This window comes from Homo sapiens, chromosome 7, assembly GCF_000001405.40.
Source record: "Homo sapiens chromosome 7, GRCh38.p14 Primary Assembly".
Taxonomy (NCBI): domain Eukaryota; kingdom Metazoa; phylum Chordata; class Mammalia; order Primates; family Hominidae; genus Homo; species Homo sapiens.
Genome location: NC_000007.14, coordinates 138,242,715 through 138,263,659, shown reverse-complemented (window position 1 = coordinate 138,263,659; position 20,945 = coordinate 138,242,715). Strand labels below are relative to the sequence as shown.

The window sequence follows — 20,945 nt, the reverse complement described above, 5'->3', positions numbered from 1 at the left end:
CAAACATGAAAAGATACTCAGACTCATTACTAATCAGGAAAATGCAAATTTAAATCACAAGAAGATATCATTGTATACCTACTAGATTGACAAAAATTAAAAATCTGGGCTGGGCGCAGCAGCTCATGCCTATAATCCCAGCACTTTGGGAGGCCAAGGTGGGCGGTTCACCTGAGGTCAGGAATTCAAGACCAAGAGTTCGAGAGCAGCCTGACCAACATGGTGAAACTCTGTCTCTACTTAAAATACAAAAATTAGCCAGGTGTGGTAGCGCATGCCTGTAATCCCAGCTACTTAGGAGGCTGAGGCACAAAAACGGCTTGAACTTGGGAAGCAGAGGTTGCAGTGAGCCAGGATCACGCCACTGCACTCCAGCCTGGGTGACAGAGTGAGACTCTGTCTCAAAAAAGCCAAAAAACAAAAAAACAAAAACCAACCAACCAAACAAACACACAAAAAAACAGAAATCCCCAGAGGCTGGCTGTGTGGGCAGTTTGCAGGAGTAGAACTTAGAGTTGGAGTCTCGTTTGTCTTCAGAAGGGCAGTTGTATTTCTGTGACAACTGTACTTTTCCAATAATACTCTTAATATGTTCTTGGCCACCAGTTGGAATGTGAATTCAAATTTTTCGAAAAGGCACCCAATATGCAGTCTGGGTCCTCATACTCCTGACCTCAGGTGATCCCCCTGCCTTGGCCTCCCAAAGTGCTGGGATTACAGGCGTGAGCCAGCCTCTGGGGATTTCTTTCCCCACATCATGCCAGAAGAGGGCTTCAACAAGATTGTTTAGAAAGATTAGGGGTGCTTACAAAAAAAAGAAATAGACATTTCTCTCCCCTGCTGGGTGTGTAATGAACTGCAAAAACTCATGGGCCCATCCTGGAGAAGTCACTGGAGTATAGCATGGTGAGAAGGTTCTTGGGAAAGTTTGGTATGTGTGCTCTGTAGTCTAGGAGTGTCCATGAGTCTAGAAATTTGTGCCCCCTTCCCTGGAAGACAGAAGGTAATAGAGGGGCTGGCTGCCTATATATCCACCATCTTTCACTGCAAGCTTACATGTGTTTCTTGTTAGTTAATTGGACAAGGAATGATGTCTGGGTTTTTGGTAATCTTATAAGTAGACTATCCCAGAGGGGAGCCTGCTAGAGTGAGAGGACCTCAGAAATAGGAGATGGTGAGTCACACCATCAGAGGCAGCTGCCAGGGTTGGGGAAAGGGCATTACAAGCATACAGCCAGACAGTACATTGCCCACGTCAGGGTTCAAGCAAGAACCTCTCAAAGAGGCCAGGCACGGTGGCTCATGCCTGTAATCCCAGCACTTTGGGAGGCCGAGGCAAGTGGATCACTTGAGGCCAGGAGTTCGAGACCAGCCTGGCCAATATGGCGAAACCCCATCTTTACTAAAAAAAAAAAAAAAAATACAAAAATTAGCCGGGCGTGGTGGCATGCGCCTGTAGTCCAGTTACTCAGGAGGCTGAGGCACAAAAATTGCTTGAACCCAGGAGGCAGAGGTTGCAGTGAGCCAAGATCATGCCACTGCACTCCAGCCCAGGTGACAGAGCAAGACTGTCTCAAAAAAAAAAAAACAAAAAAACCCAAAAAACAAAAAAAGAACCTCTCAAAGAACTTGTAACCTGCATCTCAGTGAGAGAGCCAGTATTTGGAATGCACCACCAACAGGATTATAATGGCACTGATTAAGTAAGTTCTTAGTTCTATCTTCTCTAATTCTTTCCCCTCTACCTTGACCCTGAAGAAAGCAGAGGTAGCAAAGGGAATGCATGGGTGTATTGATTATCTGTTGCTGCAACTTGCAACAATAAAGATTTGTTATCTCACACAGTTTTTGTGAATCAGAAATTTGAGAGTGGCTTAGGTGGGTGCTACAGGCTCAGGATCTCTTGTGACATGACAGTCTAGATTTGGCTGGGATACAGTCATCTGAAGGCTTGACTGGGGCTGGAGAATCTGCCTCCAAGGAGGCTCACTCATGTGCTTGGTGAGCTGATGCTGGCTACTTGCAGGAGGCTTCAGCTCTTTATCACATGCACATGGAACTCATCATAAGGCTGCCTGAGTATATCCCAGGTGTGTCTTCTGGTATGGCCAGAGCAAGTGATCCAGGAAACAGCAAGTTGGAAGCCAAAATATCTTTTATGACTTAGTCTTGAAAGACACATTCCTCATATAGGTCACTCTATCGTTATCCTTATATAGGTCTCTCTTTGTATAGACAATATCCTTTTATAGGTCAGCCATAGTTTATGTGGGAGAGGATTACAATTACGCAAGGGTGTGAATACTGAGACCTGTCTGTTACATGATTATTGCCTGGATAGGCAGTATGGAGAGTGAGGATGAGAAAGTCCTATGAGAATTGAGAACCAGCTAATGAAAGAAAGGACTATTCAGCAACCACAAGTTGGCAGCAAAGTAGGAAATTAAGAAGTTAATTGTCTAAGCCTAATGTAGATTATAACCTGCGGCTGGACAATTTCTTAGCCCTCAGCTTGTGCTAGGCCTGCTGGTTATACTTCCATTGGTATCTTGGTGCTCTTTTTCTCCAAGCCTTAGAGACACACAGACTCCAAGGAAACAGCCTTCATTATTTAACCTCTCCATCGAAAGAACAAAATGAAGACATTTGCCTTGCATTTGCATAATTACAGCAAATACATCAGCAAATCTATTTGTCTCCACCGTTGAAGTAAATGAAGTTGAAGTAGATGAAGATCCAATAGCTTTGCATCTCTTCTCCACTCCCACCCTTGATGTGCTACCATCTTCCTGCTAGGACTATAGGAACAGATCTGGCAGCTTGCCCTCTTGCTCCCAGAGTCTCATCTTCACACAAAGCCAGGGAGGTCCTTTTAAAACATACCCAGATCACCTCACTGCCCTGGTCAACCTCCCCAGTGGCTTTCCTTCTCACTTAGTAAAATCTAAACTTTAAAATACCATTCTCTAGCCAGAAAAAAAGGTATTCTTTCTTACCAAGCACCCCCACTATACAAGCCTCTGCTGAAATCTTTTAAGAGGCTAACTGTTTAAAAGAAAATAGTTTGTTAACACGCGGTTTTCTATTTTTTTACTAAAAAAAAAAAAAATTTTTTTTTTAAGAGCCAGGGGTCTGACTCTATTGCCCAGGCTGGACTTGGACTGCAGTGGTGCAATCAACATGTGGCTTATGGCAGGGTGTGGTGGCTCACGCCTGTAATCCCAGCACTTTGGGAGGCTGAGGTGGGTGGATCACCTGGGGTCAGGAGTTGAGACCAGCCTGGCCAACATGATGAAACCTGGTCTCTACAAAAATCCAAAAAATTAGCCGGGCATGATGGTGGGTGCCTGTAATCTCAGCTACTGGGGAAGCTGAGTTGGGAGAATCGCTTGAACCCGGGAGGCGGAGATTGTAGTGAGCTGAGATTGCACCATTGCACTCCAGCCTGGGCAACAAGAGTAAAACTCCATCTCAAAAATAAATAAATAAATAAAAGAAAAAAAGAAATGCAAAAACCTGAAAAGACACCTCAAAAGGCCAGTCTTAGGTTCTACAATAGTGATGTTATCTGCAAGAGTAATTGGGGAAGTTGCAAATCTTATGACCTCCGGAATAATGACTGGTAATTATTTAGAATTCAAGCCCCTCTCATTAACTTGGTAGCCTTTCATTAGTTTTACAAGAACAGTTTAGTTTTTGGTAAGGGCTAATGTTATTTAAACTGTAAACTAAATTTCTCTGGAAGTTAGCTTGACCCACGCCCAGGAATGAGCAAAGACAGCCAGCCTGTGAGGCTAGAAGCAAGATGGAGTCAGCCATGTCCGATTTCTCTCACTGTTGTAATTTTGGAAGGGCAGTTTCAAAGGGTCCTCAAGCTCTGAAAATATAACTCAAGTTGATTTAGAGCCAGTTGTTTTATAATGTTGTCAAGTTACAGGCTACCATGTAGAAAATTGGTAAGGTAAAGCATTCTTCTTTTCTGTTTACATCAAAGTTCTGCCTCCCTCCTATAAGGAAAGTTGTGATTCCATTTGGCCCACACCAATAATTCAGGATAATCTTCCTAACTCAAGATCTTTAACTCAATGGCATCTGCAACATCCCTTTGCACTATAAGGTGACACTCAGAGTTTCTGGGGATTAGTATGTAGACACTGTAGGGATGAAAAGGTATAACACATTTTCTTCACTCATTTCAAGGTCCTGTAGTGTTCTTTCTCTTGGCCAGTTCCCCTTTGGCCATTTCTTTTCCCCTCCCCCTTCATCTACTCCCTTCTACCCTCTTATCAACTTTACACTCTTGGCTCACTCTTTGTTCTCAAAATAAAAGCTCGCTTCCCTACTTTTCTTTCATAGTAGCCCTCAGGAAGAGCCTAAATCTTTAACATAAAAAATAAATTGACTTTTCTCCAGGGCAGGGAGAATTCAACCAATTTCTGTAATCCACCTAAAGAGAAAGCGAGGCTCCCTTTCCATCCTGGAAAACAGTCTTCTCCTCTTCTCCTTCCTTCCTCCACGTGGACTCAAAGATTCTGAAACGAAAAAACAAAGCAATGTTTTTCATACTTAAACAAACCAACCAACAGAACAAACTGAAGTGAATTGTAACTGCCCAACGGGTTCATCTTGTCTGCTTCCTAGACAGAGCTGATTTGTCAAGACAGGTGAATTGTGATACAGGAAAAGTAATTCACACAGAGCTGGCTGTGTGGGCGACTGAAGTTTTGTTATTATTCAAATCAATCTCCCTGACAATTTGAGGACAAAAGTTTCTTGTTTTCTTTTGTTTTTGAGACGGAGTTTCGCTCTTGTTGCCCAGGCTGAAGCGCAATGGCACAATCTCGACTCACTGCAACCTCTGCCTCCCAGGTTCAAGCGATTCTCCGGCCTCAGCCTCCTGAGTAGCTGGGATTACAGATGTGCGCCACCACGCCCGGCTAATTTTGTATTTTTAGTAGCGACGGGGTTTCTCCATGTTGGTCAGGCTGGTCTCAAACTCCCGACCTCAGGTGATCCGCCCGCTTCAGCCTCCCAAAGTGCCGGGATTACAGACATGAGCCACCGTACCCGGCCAAGGATAGGAGTTTTTAATGATAATTTGGTGGGTGGGTGGGTGGGGGGCAGTGAATCCGAGGTTCTGATTACTCAGATTGGAGATGAAATCATAGGAGTCGAAGCTGTCCTCTTGCACTGAGTCACTTCCTGGGAAGGGGCCACAAGACCAGATGAGTGGGATTATCTGTCTGGGTGGTGCCGGCTGATCCATCAAGTGCAGGAGCTGCAAAATATCTGAAGCACTGATCTTAGGTTTTACAGTAGTGATGCTATCCCCAGGAGCAATTTGGGTAGGTTTAGAATCTTGCAGCCTCCAGCTGCATGACTCCTAAATCATAATTTCTTATCTTGTGGCTAATTTGTTAGTTCTGCAAAGGCAGTCTTGTCCCCAGACAAGAAGGGAGTTTGTTTTGGGAAATGGCTGTTATCACTTTTGTTTCAAAGCTAAACCATAAACTAAATTATTCCCAAAGTTAGTTTGGCCTACCCCCAAGAATGGACAAGGACAGCTTGGAGGTTACGGACAGGATGGAGTCAGTTAGGTCAGATCTCTTTCACTGTAATCATTGTCTCAGTTAGAATGTTTTTCAAAGGCAGTTTCATAATCTTGCAAACTCAAGCAGGAGGAAGCATAATGAAAGAGTTTTTGATGACTTTTGAGTCATGTTAAACATGGTCATTTTGAGGGAAGAGAGAGGAAGGAACTGGTTAGGCAAATAGTTAGGACAAGTCCCGTGGTAGAAGTCCTTTTATCAAAAGAGCAACCTGGAAGAAATCAAGCTGTAAGTGCAGATAAGGAAGCAAGATCCAACACCTTTATCTCTTGTGCAACCAGCTAGCTCCAGTTATATACGATGGGTTCCTTGAGCACATTCCTTTCCTTTTTGGGCATACTCAGATAAGGGAACTTGCACAAGGGGGCTTTCCTAAGACAGGCCTGCAGCTGTATAGATAAAAATGTTACGTAGAACCAGACACGTCGGCGGTGGAAAATTCCATCTCCTGACACGTGTGCAGTAAGGGAAATGAAAGAATATGGAGTAACTCAGGCTTAGGACCCACATGCACACTAGAGGGGTGGGGTGGAACTAACAAGAATTCATGCCTTATCCAACTCGACACCCAGCCCTAACTAGTTTTTCGTACCCTATGCAGATGAAACACCCTGCCCAATTAACTTGTGTATTTTTAATTTAATTTAATTTATTTATTTATTTCGATATGGAGTCTTGCTCTGTCGCCCAGGCTGGAGTGCAGTGGTGCGATCTCGGCTCACTGCAAGCTCCACCTCCTGGGTTCACACCATTTTCCCGCCTCAGCCTTCCGGATAGCTGGGACTACAGGCACTTGCCACCATGCCCAGCTGATATATATATATATATATATTTGTATTTTTTAGTAGAGATGGGGTTTCATCGTGTTAGCCAGGATGGTCTCAATATCTTGATCTTGTGATCCACCCGCCTCAGTCTCCCAAAGTGCTGGGATTACAGGCATGAGCCACTGCACCCAGCCAACTTTTTTTTTTTTTTTAATTATTTTATTTGAGAGAGGGAGTCTTTCTCTGTCACCCAGGCTGGAGTGCAGTGGGGCAATCTCGGCTCACTGCAACCTCTGCCTCCCGGGTTCAAGTGATTTTCCTGCCTCAGCTTCCCAAATGCTGTGACTACAGGCATGCGCCACCATGCCCAGCTAACTTTTGTGTTTTTTAGTAGAGATGGGGTTTCACTGTATGTTGGCCAGACTGGTCTCAAACTCCTGGCCTCAGGTGATCCATCTGCCTCCACCTCCCAAAGTGCTGGGATTACAGGTGTGAGCCACAGTGCCTGGCCCCAATTAGCTTGTTTATAAAAGCATTTACATCCAGCTGTGAAACGACAACCCTCTTGGGCCACCTCTCTGCTGCAGAGAGCTTTCTTCTTTCACTTATTAAACTTTTGCTCCAACCTCACCCTTGGTGTCCATGCTCTTTAATTTTCATGGTCGTGAGACAAAGAATTCTGGGTAGTACATCAAGCAACAAGACTGCTCCAGTAACCCCAGACTGCTTCAGTTTAGATGAAGGAAATTCTGCCAGTGTGTTTCTGACATTTGAATAGCATAAAATACTTATAATTCTCAATTTTGTCTCCAGAGTTCCAGACTTACATATCCAACATCATATTGAACATTTATGCTTTATAAGGATAAGATGCTGAAATTTTCTTTGAGGAGGGAAGTAGTTGCCACCTGATCCTCCTTTCCTTAGTGTGTCTCCTTGAAAACATAATAGACCTAATGTGAGGCCCCATCTTTGGCTTTTATGCTGCTAAGACATGAGCCATCTGGTCCTTGCAACCATAAACATCTACCTCTGAAATTAATTAAGAAATCCCGGGGCCAGGCATGGTGGCTCACGCCTGTAATCCCAGCACTTTGGGAGGCTGAGGTGGGCAGATCACAAGGTCAGGAGATTGAGACCATCCTGGCTAACATGGTGAAACCCCAACTCTACTAAAAATACAAAAAAAATTATCCAGGTGTGGTGGCAGGCACCTGTAGCCCCAGCTACTCGGGAGGCTGAGGCAGGAGAATGGTGTGAACCTGGGAGGTGGAGCTTGCAGTGAGCCAAGATCACACCACTGCACTCCAGCCTGGGCAACAGAGCGGGACTCCGCCTCAAAAGAGAGAGAGAAAAAAAAAAGAAATCCCTCAGAAGACAGAGAGGAGATAATTGAGATAATTATAAGGCATGTCCATGTATCTGTCAAGGAGCTAAGACAGAGGGTCTGTATTAATCAGGGTTGTCTAGAGGGACAGAACTAATAGAATATATATATATGTGTGTATATATATATGAAGGGGAGTTTATTAAGTAGTATTAACTCACATGATCACAAGGTCCCACAATAGGCCATCTGCAAGCTGAAGAGCAAGGAAGCCAGTCTGAGTCCCAAAGCTGAAGAACATGGAGTTCAGTGTTTGAGGGCAGGAAGCATTCAGCATGGGAGAAAGGTGTAGTCTCAGAGGCTAAACCAGTCTAGTCTTTTCATGTTTTTCTGCCTGCTTTATATTCTGCCTGCAGTGGCAGCTGATTAGATGGTGCCCACCCAGATTAACGGTGGGTCTGCCTTTCCCAGCCCACTGACTCAAATGTTAATCTCCTTCAGCCACATACTCACAGACACACCCAGGATCAATACTTTGCATCCTTCAATCCAATCAAGTTGACACAATATTAACCATCACAAGTCCACCCCTTGTCAACTGGAACCCATACACATCTCCTGAGATTGTACATAATCTTAAGATAAAGACAATAATAAAGTCATAATTATGACTAACATAATACAACTGTCCTTCTTACAACCAGAAATGCACCAATCCTCAACCCAAATGCTATTACATAAAGTTAACAATACTTAAATACTGATATGAAGTCAATAAATCTTATGTCACATGATAAAGGAAAAAGGAAATAAAATGAAGATATTTTCCAAGTACAAGTGTATACATGCACAACCATGTTTTTAACAAAGGAAGAAGGAAATACTCATGACAATTACAGTTTTCCTTTCTGCAACAGGTCACATAGTCATAGCTGGTATTAATGACTACCTTCTTTACTACCCATTCTGTATTCCCTTTGCCTTCAGCAAGCAACTCAGCAGGTTGTGTTTTTTTCCTGGTGGAGTGACCAAACTTTCATTCCTGAAGGGTCTGGGCCATTTGTAGTTCTGCCTGGATTGGGCTGTTGTATAGTTTCCCATTGACCTTTATCACAGGGCATGGTAATACAAAGAGATGCCCTAGTGGATCTCCCGTATTCTGTGCATACCCTTCCTTACCTCCATTGTGGAGCAGTAGACTGACTTCATCTTGATAGCTCAGGTCAATCACTCCGGCCAACACTGTAGCTCCCTTTTTAGCCTGTTGACTTAAAGATAGGAGGAGCCCAAAGTGTCCACGTGGCAATCTTTGTTGTGTCTCTTGGTGGCAGCATTTCTCCCTCTGGAACTGTGACCTCTAGACTAGTAGATGTCGCGGAAATAAGAAGCAAAAACTTTGCTAGTGGATCACTAGGGGTGATGGTGAGTGGTGCCACTTCCACTTTCACCCCTTGATTCCTGGACCTGTGAATCCTGGCTATGGGAGAAATAGTACCATGTATTGGATGCTGATTCAGAGCATACATGGCCTTCTGGGGAACTTTGCCCCAGACTTGAAAAGTATTGTCACCTAGTTGGCATTGTAATTGTGACTTCAAAAGGCTATTCCACCGTTCTATCAATCCAGCTGCTTCAGGATTACGGGGAACATGGTAAGACCAGGGAATTCCATGAGCATGAGCCCACTGCTTCACTTCCTTAGCCGTAAAGTGAGTGTCTTGATCAGAGGCAATGCTGTGTGGAATACCATGATGATGGATAAGGATGTGAGTCCACGGATGGTAGTCTTGGCAGAAGCATTGCATGCAGGATAGGCAAATCCATATGCAGAGTAAGTTTCTATTCCAGTGAAGACAAACCTCTGCCCTTTCCATGATGGAAGAGGTCCAATATAATCAACGTGCCACCAGGTAACTGGCTGATCCCCCCTAGGAATGGTGCCATATTGAGGATTCAGTATTGGTCTCTGCTACTGGCAAATTGGGCACTCACCAGTGGCCGTAGCCAGGTCAGCCTTCGTGAGTGGAAGTCCATGTTGCTGAGCCCATGCATGACCTCCATCCCTACCACCGTGGCCACTTTGTTCATGGGCCCATTGGGTGATGACAGAGGTGGCTGGGGAAAGAGGCTGGGTGGTGTCCACAGAATGAGTCATCCTATCCACTTGATTATTAAAATCCTCCTCTGCTGAAGTCACCCTTTGGTGAGCACTCACATGGGATACAAATAACTCCACAGTTTTTGACCACTCAGAGACGTCCATCCACATACCTCTTCCCCAAATTTCTTTGTCACCAATTTTCCAATCATCCTTCTTCCAAGTCCCTGACCATCCAGCCAAACCCTTGACTGCAGCCTATGAATTAGTACGTAATCGCACATCCGGCCATCCTCCTTCCATGCAGTGTGCACAACCAGGTGCACTGCTCAAAGTAATGCCCACTGGGAAGATTTTCCTTCACTGTTGTCCTTCAGGGATGTCCTAGAAAGGGACTGTAGTGCTGCAGCTGTCTGCTTTCCGGTGGTGCCTGCATATCATGCAGAACCATCTGTGAACCAAGTCCTAGTCTTCTTTTTCTCTTTCAACTGATCATAGGGAGCTCTCCATGAGGCCATCGGTGCAGGCTAGGGGAGACAAGGCAGGGTGGCAGGAAGGAAGACCATAGGCATTTGAGCCACTTCCTCATGTAACTTACTTGTGCCTTCAGGACCTGCTCGAACCCAATCATGTATATACCACTTCAATTTGATGATGGAACGCTGCTGTGCACCACTAACTTTATGGCTAGATGGGTCAGAAAGCACCCAATTCATGATAGGCAGTTCAGGTCGCAGGGTGACTTGATGACCCACCGTCAAACGTTCAGTTTCCACCAAAGCCCAGTAAGAGGCCAAGAGCTGCCTCTCAAAAGGAGAGTAGTTATCTGCAGAAGACAGGAGAGCCTTGCTCCAAAATCCTAGAGGCCTCCGCTGTGATTCACCAATGGCGGCGTTCCAAAGGCTCCAAATAGCATCCCTATCTGCCACTGACACCTCAAGCACCATTGGATCTGCTGGGTCATATGGCCCAAATGGCAGAGCAGCTTGCACAGCAGCCTGAACCTGCTGCAGAGCCTTCTTTTGGACTCCACTCAAACCTGGCAGCTTTTCGGATTACTCAATAAATGAGCTGGAGTAACACACCCAAATGAGGAATGTGTTGCCTCCAAAATCCAAATAGGCCCACTAGGCATTGTGTCTCTTTCTTGGTTGTAAGAGGGGCCAAATGAAGCAACTTATCGTTCACCTTAGAAGGCCTATCTCCAGAGGCCCCAAACCATTAAACTCCTGGAAATTTTACTGAAGTAGAAGGTCCCTGAATTTTAGTCAGATTTATTTCCCATCCTCTGGCATGCAAATGTCTTACCAATAAGTCCAGTGTGTTTGCTCAATGGATCTAATCAGCATAATGTCATCAATGTAATGGAACATTGTGATATCTTGCAGAAGCAAAAAGTAATCAAGGTCTGTCTGAATAAGATTATGACACAAAGCCAGAGAGTTGATATGTCCTGAGGTAGGACACTAAAGGCATATTGCTGGCCTTGCCAGCTGAAGGCAAATGGCTTCTGGTGGGCCTTATGGATGCCAATGGAGAAAAAGGCATTTGCCAAGTCAATGGCTACATACCAGGTACCAGGAGATGTGTTGATTTGCTCAAGCAATGAACCACATCTGGTACAGCAGCTGCAATTGGAGTCACCACTTGGTTAAGTTTACAATAATCCACTGTCATTCTCCAAGATCCATCTGTCTTCTGCACAGGCCAAATGGGAGAGTTGAATGGGGATGTGGTGGGAGTCACCGCCTCTGTGTCTTTCAAGTCCTTAATGGTGGCACTAATTTCCACAGTCCCTCCAAGGATGTGATATTGTTTTTGATTTACTATTTTTCTAGGTAGAGGCAGCTCTAATGGCTTCCATTTGGCCTTTCCCACCATAATAGCCCTCACCCTACCAGTCAGGGAGCCAATGTGGGGGTTCTGCCAGCTGCTAAGTATGTCTATGCCAATTACGCACTCTGGCCCTGAGGAATTGACCACAGGATGAGCCTGGGGACCCACTGGACCCACTGTAAGTTGAACCTGAGCTAAAACTCTATTAATTACCTGACCCCGCCTAAGCCCCTACTTTAACTGGAGGACCACAGTGACGTTTTGGGTCCTCTGTAATCAGTGTCAGCTCAGAGCCAGTGTCCAGTAATTCTCAAAATGTCTGATCATTTCCCTTTCCCCAATGCACAGTTACCCTAGTAAAAGGCCAGAGGTCTCCGTGGAGACGGGAGAAAGATTAACAGCATAAATTGGGCCGAGTGTGGTGGCTTGTACCTGTAATCCCAGCACTTTGGGAGGCCAAGGTGGGTGGATCACCTGAGGTCAGGTGAGTTCGAAACCAGCCTGGCCAACATGGTGAAACCCCATCTCACTAAAAAGACAAAAATTAGCTGGGCATAGTGGCACATGCCTGTAATCCCAGCCACTTGGGAGGCTGAGGCAGGAGAATCAATTGAACCTGGGAGGCAGAGGTTGCATGAGCAGAGATCATGCCTCTGCACTCCAGCCTGGGTGACAGAGTGAAGCTCCGTCTCAAAAAAAAAAAAAGAAAAAAAAAAGATTAACAGCATAAATTGTCAGTAGTGTAGTGGGGTCCTTCCTCAAGGGGACCCAGCATTCAACGGGTTCTGGGTCTGTAAACAGCATTCGACAGGACCCTTCATTCAACAGGTTCTGGGTCTGTAAACTGGCTCAAGTCTGGAAATTGATTGAGGGAACATGATTCTGTTTTTATAATTCAAATTAGTCCATTCGACCTAGAAGTTTTCTGCTTATATAAATTAAGTAGGAATGCAGATGGCTTCCTATCAATTTCACTTCTAGGAACATCGTGATTAATTAGCCAATGCCAGAGCTGTACGTGAGTCAGACTATTTTGATTGCTGCTTTGTCTCTGCTGTCCATTATGGTAGCTACGCCCACCTTGCCTTTGATGGCTGAGTGCTGCCACTTGGCCTCTGCCACCTCAGGATTCGTTTATTCCCCATTACATTTAAATTTTGTAGTTGAGTAAATGCAGTTCCCACTGTTAGATCTGACATACAGAGAAGAGCAATTACAGAGCTCTTTAAAGATGCAGGTGCTGCCATCACAAATCTATTTTGCAAGGCATTGAACAAGGGTATATCTTCTGGACCCTCTCAGCTGGGATGAGTAGATCTAAAGTCACTAATCCACTCCACCATCCCAATCTCCCTAAGCCTTTGGATCCCTTCCTCTACATTAAACCAAGGGAGATCAGGCATTTCCAGCTCACTCATAGTGGACCATCTTTTAATCCATATTTCAACTAATGAAGCTAATAAACTATTAGAACCTTTTTTAACTCCCCGAGCTGCAACATTAAATGCAGAATCCCTACTTAGTGGGCCCAAATCAATAAATTCAGTCTGATTCAAGTCTCTGTTCCTTCCATCATCATCCCACACCCTTAGTATCCATTCCCATGCCTGTTCTCTGCTTATATAAATTAGAAAACTCAAGCAGTTCTTTTTTGAGTGTAGTGCACCTCCTCATGGGTCACACTCTGAACCTCACCTCTGGGGGCCCACTGGGACTTTAGTCTAGTTATAGGTCTAGAAGAAAACTGGGGTGTTGGGGGTGGCTCCTGAGGGGAATCAACATTATCTTGCCTGGCAATTTCCTTAGGGGAGGCTATCACTGTTGCCTCAGGCAGCATAGGGTTTATCTCCTCAGACAAAGGTGGAAAGTCTGATGGCAGCATGGGTTGGGGAGGGGATGTTGCCACTACTGGGGATAGGGAAGCTGTTACTTCTGGCAAAAAAAAGGTTCATCAGAGTTTACAAGCTTAGTGTCCCCCGCTTCATCAGGCTCCTCCCACACATCCCCGTTCCGAGTTGCAGAGTCCCATTCTTTTCTAATCGATGCTCTCACTTTAACAGTGGACACCTGGCGAGGCTGTGCATGCACCTTTCATTGCAGGTCAGCCACTCGTGTGATAAGAGCTTGTGCCTATTTTTTCACAATTTCAGCTCTTTCTCTACAGGAGATAAGACTCTCACTCAGGACAATCTTAGCAGATTTGAGGCTCCGTATCTGCTTCTGAAGCCGGGAATTAGAATCCCTGACTTTATCATTTTCTTTCATCACTTTGTCCAGTGAACTTAGGGGGAACAAACCAACTTCATTATGTTTCTTGGTTCTCCACGTATAGTCAAAGGTATTATGTATAGAGTCACTAAACTCCTTGCCTCTCATAAGCAGTGGTAAATCAGGAGTGTCAAATGCATTTATTTTGCATAACTCTCTAAACAGGACTATCGGTGTTCTCTATAATATTAAAAGTAGAGTCTTTAGCATTTTTGGGTCTAATCATATTAAGCAGCCAACTCAGGAAGCCCCAAAATCAATGAAAAAACTCCATCCTTAATATTCTGTTTCTCTAGAACAACTTCTGGTACTAAAATCTGTATTAGTCAGGGTTCTGTAGAGGGACAGAACTAATAGGATATACATATATCTATAATCTCTATATTATATATTATATATAAATATATATAATATATTTCTATTATATTAAGTTATTATATATTATATATTATATATATTATATAATTTATTATATATAATATATAATATATTAATATAATATAAATATATATAATATATAATATATAAAAATATATTAATATATATGTTTATATTTATATATAAATATATATTATATATATATATCCTATTAGTTCTGTCCCTCTAGGGAATCCTAATACAGATATATACAGATATATATATATATATATATCGAGAGAATAACATGATCTGATACGTGTTTTATAAGGCTTCCTGAATCTATTTTCACACTGATCAGAGTAGTCTTTCTTATTTTTGCTTCCTGTTACTCTTTTTGAGACAGAGTCTTGCTCTGTCACCCTGGCTGGAGTGCTGTGGCATAACCATGGCTCACTGCAGCCTCAACCTCCCAGGCTCAAGCAATCCCCCCACCTCAGCCTCCTGAGTAGCTGGGACCCCAGCTGTGTACCACCATGCCTGGCTAATTTTCAACCATTTTTTGTAGAGATGGGGGTCTCACTATGTTGCCCAGGCTGGTCTTGAGCTCCTAGGCTCAAGCAATCCTCCAGCCTTGGCCTGCCAAAGTGCTGGTATTATAGGTGTGAGTCACTGCACCCAGCCCTCCTCTTCTTTTTTTCTCTTCCTATTTTGTCTTAATGAAAATAGCTTTACTGATTTTTCTGATTGTAAAAATTTTATACACTTGTTGGGAAAAATCAAAGAGAATAGAAAAGTTATTCTTTTTCTTTCTTTCTCTCTTAGTAAAAGTTGAGTGAAATTCCTTCAGTAACATTTGGTACATTTAACTAATATTTTGGATTATTGAAGTGAAAATATGCTCAGTCTATTTCTTGAATTTGAAACCATCCTCATGAAATTAATAAAACAAAATTGCAAGGTTTTAACAAAATTATAAGCTTGAATAGAAGCATAGTCAAGCATGAACCAGCTAGCTTTTTAGCCCACTTCCTTACAGTTGCTGAATGCTGAAAAGTCACATAGCCCCTGTCATGAGGTCCTAACTTCCCTTGTTTCTATAGATAACATTTTTAATATTAAGAAAACTCAGGTTTTAAAATTTGAGATGTTTTCCATATCCTGCATTCTGAGGATGCCTGCCAGACTGAAAACCCTTCCGAGGAACTGACTCAGCACAGAATGCAGCTTCTACATTGTTATGACTTCATCCCCCACCCCCTAACTAATCAGTGATCACAGCTCCTTATCCTTCTTCCCACCAAAACGTTCTTAAAAACCCGTCCAAAACTCTTCAGGCAGGCAGATTTGAGGTTCCTCCCATCTCCTGGTTTGGCTGCCCTATGATTATTGAACTCTTTCTCTGCTGTAACCCCTGCTGTTTTGGTATATTGGTTTTTACCACACAATGGGCTATTGAACCTGGAGTCCTATAACAAATTGAATCCCTTTAATATCTTTCCATTGCTTTTCTGATGAAGTTCACTTGCTCTACTTTTAGCTCTTTCTCTTCTTCGTGCTCTACCTTCAGCCTCGTGTTACTTCCCTTTCCTGCCTCTGCACAGACCCAGTACCTCACCTGGAGGCATTCTCCTCTACCTGGCTAACCCTTCTCCTGAAGCCTCTCAGCCCGTCAGCACCAGCCTTTGTCCTGCTGTTTAGTCGCGCCTCTCTCTCTCACTGTGGACTGTAGGCTCTTTGAGAGCAGTCCGGGAAATTTTCCCTTGGCCCTGATGACCTAAAAAAAAAGAAGTGGAGGCAAGCAAGATTAATGTAAGAGTTTATTTGGGCCAAGCCTGAGGATTGCAACCTGGAACCATAGATTCAAATTGCTTTGATTACACACTCTGATTAACAGCAGTTACAAGTGAATTTTTAAAGGGAAAGAAGAGGCAGTTCCTGAGTTGTTTACCAAGAATTTATATAAAAATAACAAGCTATTGAATGGCTATACATTGTTGTTTGTATCACAAATTCCAGGAACATGAAGATAATGAGTGAGACAGCAAGTCAGGAACAAAAATGACTTTAAACAATTGCCCCCAGGCATGAGTGGGAGGGAAAGGGGGCATAACTGAAGGCCTGTACTCATGTCTGTCTGGGCCTGCATACCTTCCATAGCTCAGACCACTCTAAGCTTTTTTTATTTTCTCAGCCCTCTGAAGGGTCACTGAAAAAGCAACTGACAAAAGGCAGATTAATAGAAGAAAAGGCATACAAATTTATTAACGTGTATGGGGAGAGAACCACAGAGTGATTATCCCAACCCCCTAGTGGGGTACAGAGGCCTATATACCCTTTCTCCAGGGGGAAGGAGGAGATGGGGAATATAGGCAATTCTTTTCAGGAGAAGTACGTTATTTTAAGGGAAAACGAATGGACTAGAAAGACATAAATTAACTTGTAAATTATTCTCTTTGAGGCTCATTGTAAGTGATTCTCATGAGGCTGAGAGGCAGGTTTGTCTTGTGGAAAAAATATAAGATCTCAAAGAAAGGAAAAATGGCTGATGGTTTTTTATACCATCTTGAGGTTACAGAAAGAATAGGGGCTTAGGTCATGGCAAAACGGGTTATGGTGGCAAAACAGGTTATGAGAGGCACAGAAGAAGAGGCCCGGCTGGCAAAGTTCGTCTTGTTATAAAGATGAAACTGTGCAGGTAGCCACCCTCAGAGAGAATAGATGGTAAATGTTTCTTTCAGACTTGAAGGCGTCAGACTTTCTGTTAATCTTTCCTAGATCTAGACAAGGGAGGGCCTCAGAGAAAGCCTGGCTGCATCAATGTTGATTCTCTACAGATGCAAATCTCGCTCACAAAAGGCAGCTTTTCAGCTATTCTTGCATTTCCAGCCCCTCTGAACAGCCATCTTGAAACATGTCAAGAAAATATATTTTGGAATGAAATATTTTGGTTTTATTTGCCTGGGCATCCAGGTACCTAGTCCAGTTCCTGGTAATTTAGAGGCACTTAATGACTATTTTTGAATAAATGCAGGAGAGAGCTTTGATTCTAGATAATCCACTCAGGAGATGCTTATTAAATATCTACTGGCTACCAGATTCAATTGGGCTCCCCTCCCTCAAGGTGATCACAGTCTCCTGCTGCTTCTTCAGATGGAAATATCCTGAACTAGAGATAGATAGTCCTACAGGCTGTGTCAGCTTGGTATCAACATGCTTTAAAGAGACCACCCTTTATCCTTCTGGGATTCCAAGCATTCTTATGATCTGGTGTTTTGTCTATTATCCATTTAGAAAAGATAAATCAGTGCCCTTTCCCCCCATTTAAAAAAGTGTGATAAAACATATATAACATAAGTTTTGCCTTTTAACCATTTTGTGTATAATTTAGCTGAGCTAAAATACATTCACAATGTTGTGCAATCATCACCACTGTCCATTTCCACAATGTTTTCATCACTCCAAACAGAGACTCTGTACTGATTAAGCAATACTCTCCAGCACACCTACCCCCAGTCTCTCATGTACTTGCTGCCTCTATGTATTTGCCTATCCAGATATTTCATTTAAGTGGAATCACATGATATTTGTCCTTTGGTGTCTGGCTTATTTCACTCAGCATAATGCTTTCAAGGTCGCAATGACCCTTTTTATTTTCATTTTCACTTTTTTTAAAAAAATATGGGGAATAAATGTTTGGTCTACTACCCATTTAGAGATAAATCAGTGCAACAATGTATTTTATTTTCATTTTTTACTTGATTTTTTTTTTTTTATGACAGGGAATACATGCTTAACATCCCTATTTATTTTTTTCTCCTTTCTTTAGATAAACTAATTGCTTTTGGCTCATGTATTTATGGTGTGTTCTTTCTATAGGAGCTTTATTACAGCTCCCAACCCCACTCCACAGTTTCTCCCACTCCTGTGGGTGTTTGCTTACACTAACCATACTAACAAGAATTCTGACCCTGGATCTGGGCAAACAGATGACATTGCTCATGAGATATCCTGCTCCTGCCTTCCACAACAGGGGATCTCCAGCAATATCTCCAAGTTAGGACTAGGAGAAAATTTGGAGCTGCCTGCTGTTGATTGACCTCTAGTTTCATTTCACTTTTCCATCACAGTTTTTCTATCAACAGTCAAGACTGAGATTGTGATCATCCTTTCAAGGTCTTTAGTTCTTTCGAAGTGTTTCGTTGTGTCAGTTTTCATCAGTTTGGCCACACCTGGCCAGTGTAGCCATGGCTAAGGTTCCTCAGCGACTCCTTCCAATTCTCATCCCGTTTCCCCTCATATCTGCTCTCTTTCTCTCTTTTAGCAACATCAACAAAATAATAAACGAAAGTTTTATGGTGCTTTATATTTCCACTGTGATTTCCTCTATGCCCATTAAATTTTATCCTCAAAACAATCTTTCCAAGGAGGTAGGGTGGGTTTTGTTTTTCTCCCTTTACATATGAGGAGACCTTAGATATCAAGAATTTCAGTGATTTCACAAATTCGTGCAGCTGATAAGTGGCAGAGCCTGAACTGCAACCAAGATTTGTTATCAGTTGCTAGGCCCAGTCTTGGCTAGACAATGCAAGAACTCAGCAAAGACTTGTTGAATGAATTAGTGATGTGTCTTGTGTTTGCTCTTGTCTGATCGACCATTCCACGGGCAGCATTTTTTTGAGTAAGCGGAGCTTTTCTAGGTGTCTTGGTAATGCTGACTGTTGTTTGGACAAACTTTTCTATGGATAATTGACGTTATCCAAGTAGCAGAATATCTGAAATTTATAAAAATTGTCAGGAAATTGTAATAAACATGTAAGAAAGTTAAGAGGACTGACCGGGCGCAGTGGATCACGCCTGTAATCCCAGCACTTTGGGAGGCCGAGGCAGGTGGATCACCTGAGGTCAGGAGTTTGAGACCAGCCTGGCCAACATGGTGAAACCTCATCTCTACTAAAAATACAAAAATTAGCCGGGTGTGGTGGTGGGTGCCTGCTATTCAGGAGGCTACTTGGGAGGCTGAGGCAGGAGAATTGCTTGAACCCAGGAGCCAGAGGTTGCAGTGAGCTGAGATTGCGTCACTGCACTCTAGCCTGGGCTGCAAAAAAACACTACATCTCAAAAAAAAAAAAAAAAAAAAAAAAAAAAAAAAAAAAAAAAAAAAAGAAAAGAAAAGAAAAAAGAAAAGTTAAGAGGACTTAGTTGACTATTCATTCCTAAAACATATGTATATTTAAGAACATTTGCCAGCACATTAGAATGGGAAGGAGGAAGGGAGTGGGAGTTGACTTTGGGTCTAAAGGAGGAAATGTTTTTATAATTAAACAGAAGAAAAGACAGCTTTCATTGGTCTATGGTGATAATAAACTATTATCTGAAGAATCTGATAAACTCTTTGCCCCTTGAGATCCAAAAAGAAAAAGCACATTCTATATATTTCTTTCACCCCTCTTCTCCATGTAATAATGAAGAAAACCAAACACAAAACACAAAAAACCTAAGCCCACCTAAAGAGTGTAGTTTTCGAATTTCACTTTTATTTGATTTTGTAACATCCTTTTGAAGAAGAGTGATGTCCAAAGAGAGAGAATTCTTTACAGAGCTGCAGTCGTAGAGTGGAAGCCATTTCTGCCGGTTGCCTGCAGATCGCTTCCACCACCTGGAGAGTTGCTCTCAATCCTATTGACTTTCTGTGACCTTCCTTTATCATGCAAACCAAGGCAGTCAAACTGACTGGGCTGGGTCCTCTCCAGTCCCCAGCAGATGGTCATTACTCACAGCCAGTGAATGGTAGGATTACGGCAAGGTTTTGGCTCCCCCTGCAACTCTGTAAACTGGTTCAACGTCCCAAGATTAGACAGACATTTGCAGTGGCTGATATCCTTCCATTCACTCTGGAGTGATTTCCTCATTTCAGTGCTTTAAATGTTTCCAAATCACAGGTAAGAACTGGTCTAAAATGTTACTTAGGAATTGATTCAAATTCTTAAATCATTTATAGGTAACAGAAACAAGTAGTAATGCAAACACAGACAAAAATCAAACAAACTTTTTCATTTTGTTTTTTGTTGCCGTTGTTTTATTTTCCTTTAATCCTCTCCTGTCCAGGAGACAAACTTGTTAATAAAAAGATCTTTATCTTGAAAGCTTTTTTCTTTTAAATGAAAAACCATTTTTAACTTAAAGGTAACAAGTTTTCTAATTTCAAAGTATCTTCAAGTTAGAAAAACTGGAAAACAGAATGTACAAGAAAATAATTTACATTTGAGAATCACATCACCCAGAGATGAGAAAAATAACTGTTGGTTGAATTGTGTTTCTTTCCAATTGCATCTGTATACTTTTATTTTATGTGAGAACGTATTAAATATACATTTTTGATTTTTATCTTATTTCACTGAATATTAGTGATCATTAGCATTTTTATGTCACTAATGGCTCTATCAAAGTGTTTTTGAGAGATGCCTTATATTTTATTATGTGGTATGCCATTAAAAAAGAAAAACCACATTATAGGCCTAGCGCGGTGGCTCACGCTTGTAATCCCAGCACTTTGGGAGGCCAAGGTGGGCTGATAGTTGAGGTCAGGAATTCGAGACCAGCCTGGCCAAAACGGTGAAACCTCTTCTCTACTAAATAGTAAAAAAATTAGCTGGGCATGGTGGTGCACACTTGTAATCCCA

General features: G+C 42.7%; 2 annotated features.

The window, feature by feature from the left end:
- Positions 10,580-10,978: a silencer, noted in NCBI's record as "fragment chr7:137937428-137937826 (GRCh37/hg19 assembly coordinates)". NCBI's record gives its function as "represses an EF-1alpha promoter that drives an FKBP-Casp9 reporter gene in an ReSE screen in phorbol 12-myristate 13-acetate-treated (for megakaryocytic differentiation) K562 erythroleukemia cells {active_cell/tissue: K562(+PMA)}" and the evidence as "EXISTENCE:reporter gene assay evidence [ECO:0000049][PMID:32094911]".
- Positions 19,710-20,324: an enhancer, noted in NCBI's record as "OCT4-NANOG-H3K27ac hESC enhancer chr7:137928082-137928696 (GRCh37/hg19 assembly coordinates)". NCBI's record gives its function as "activates a minimal SCP1, AML or CMV promoter by ChIP-STARR-seq in naive and primed H9 embryonic stem cells {active_cell/tissue: H9 hESC(naive and primed)}" and the evidence as "EXISTENCE:reporter gene assay evidence [ECO:0000049][PMID:30033119]".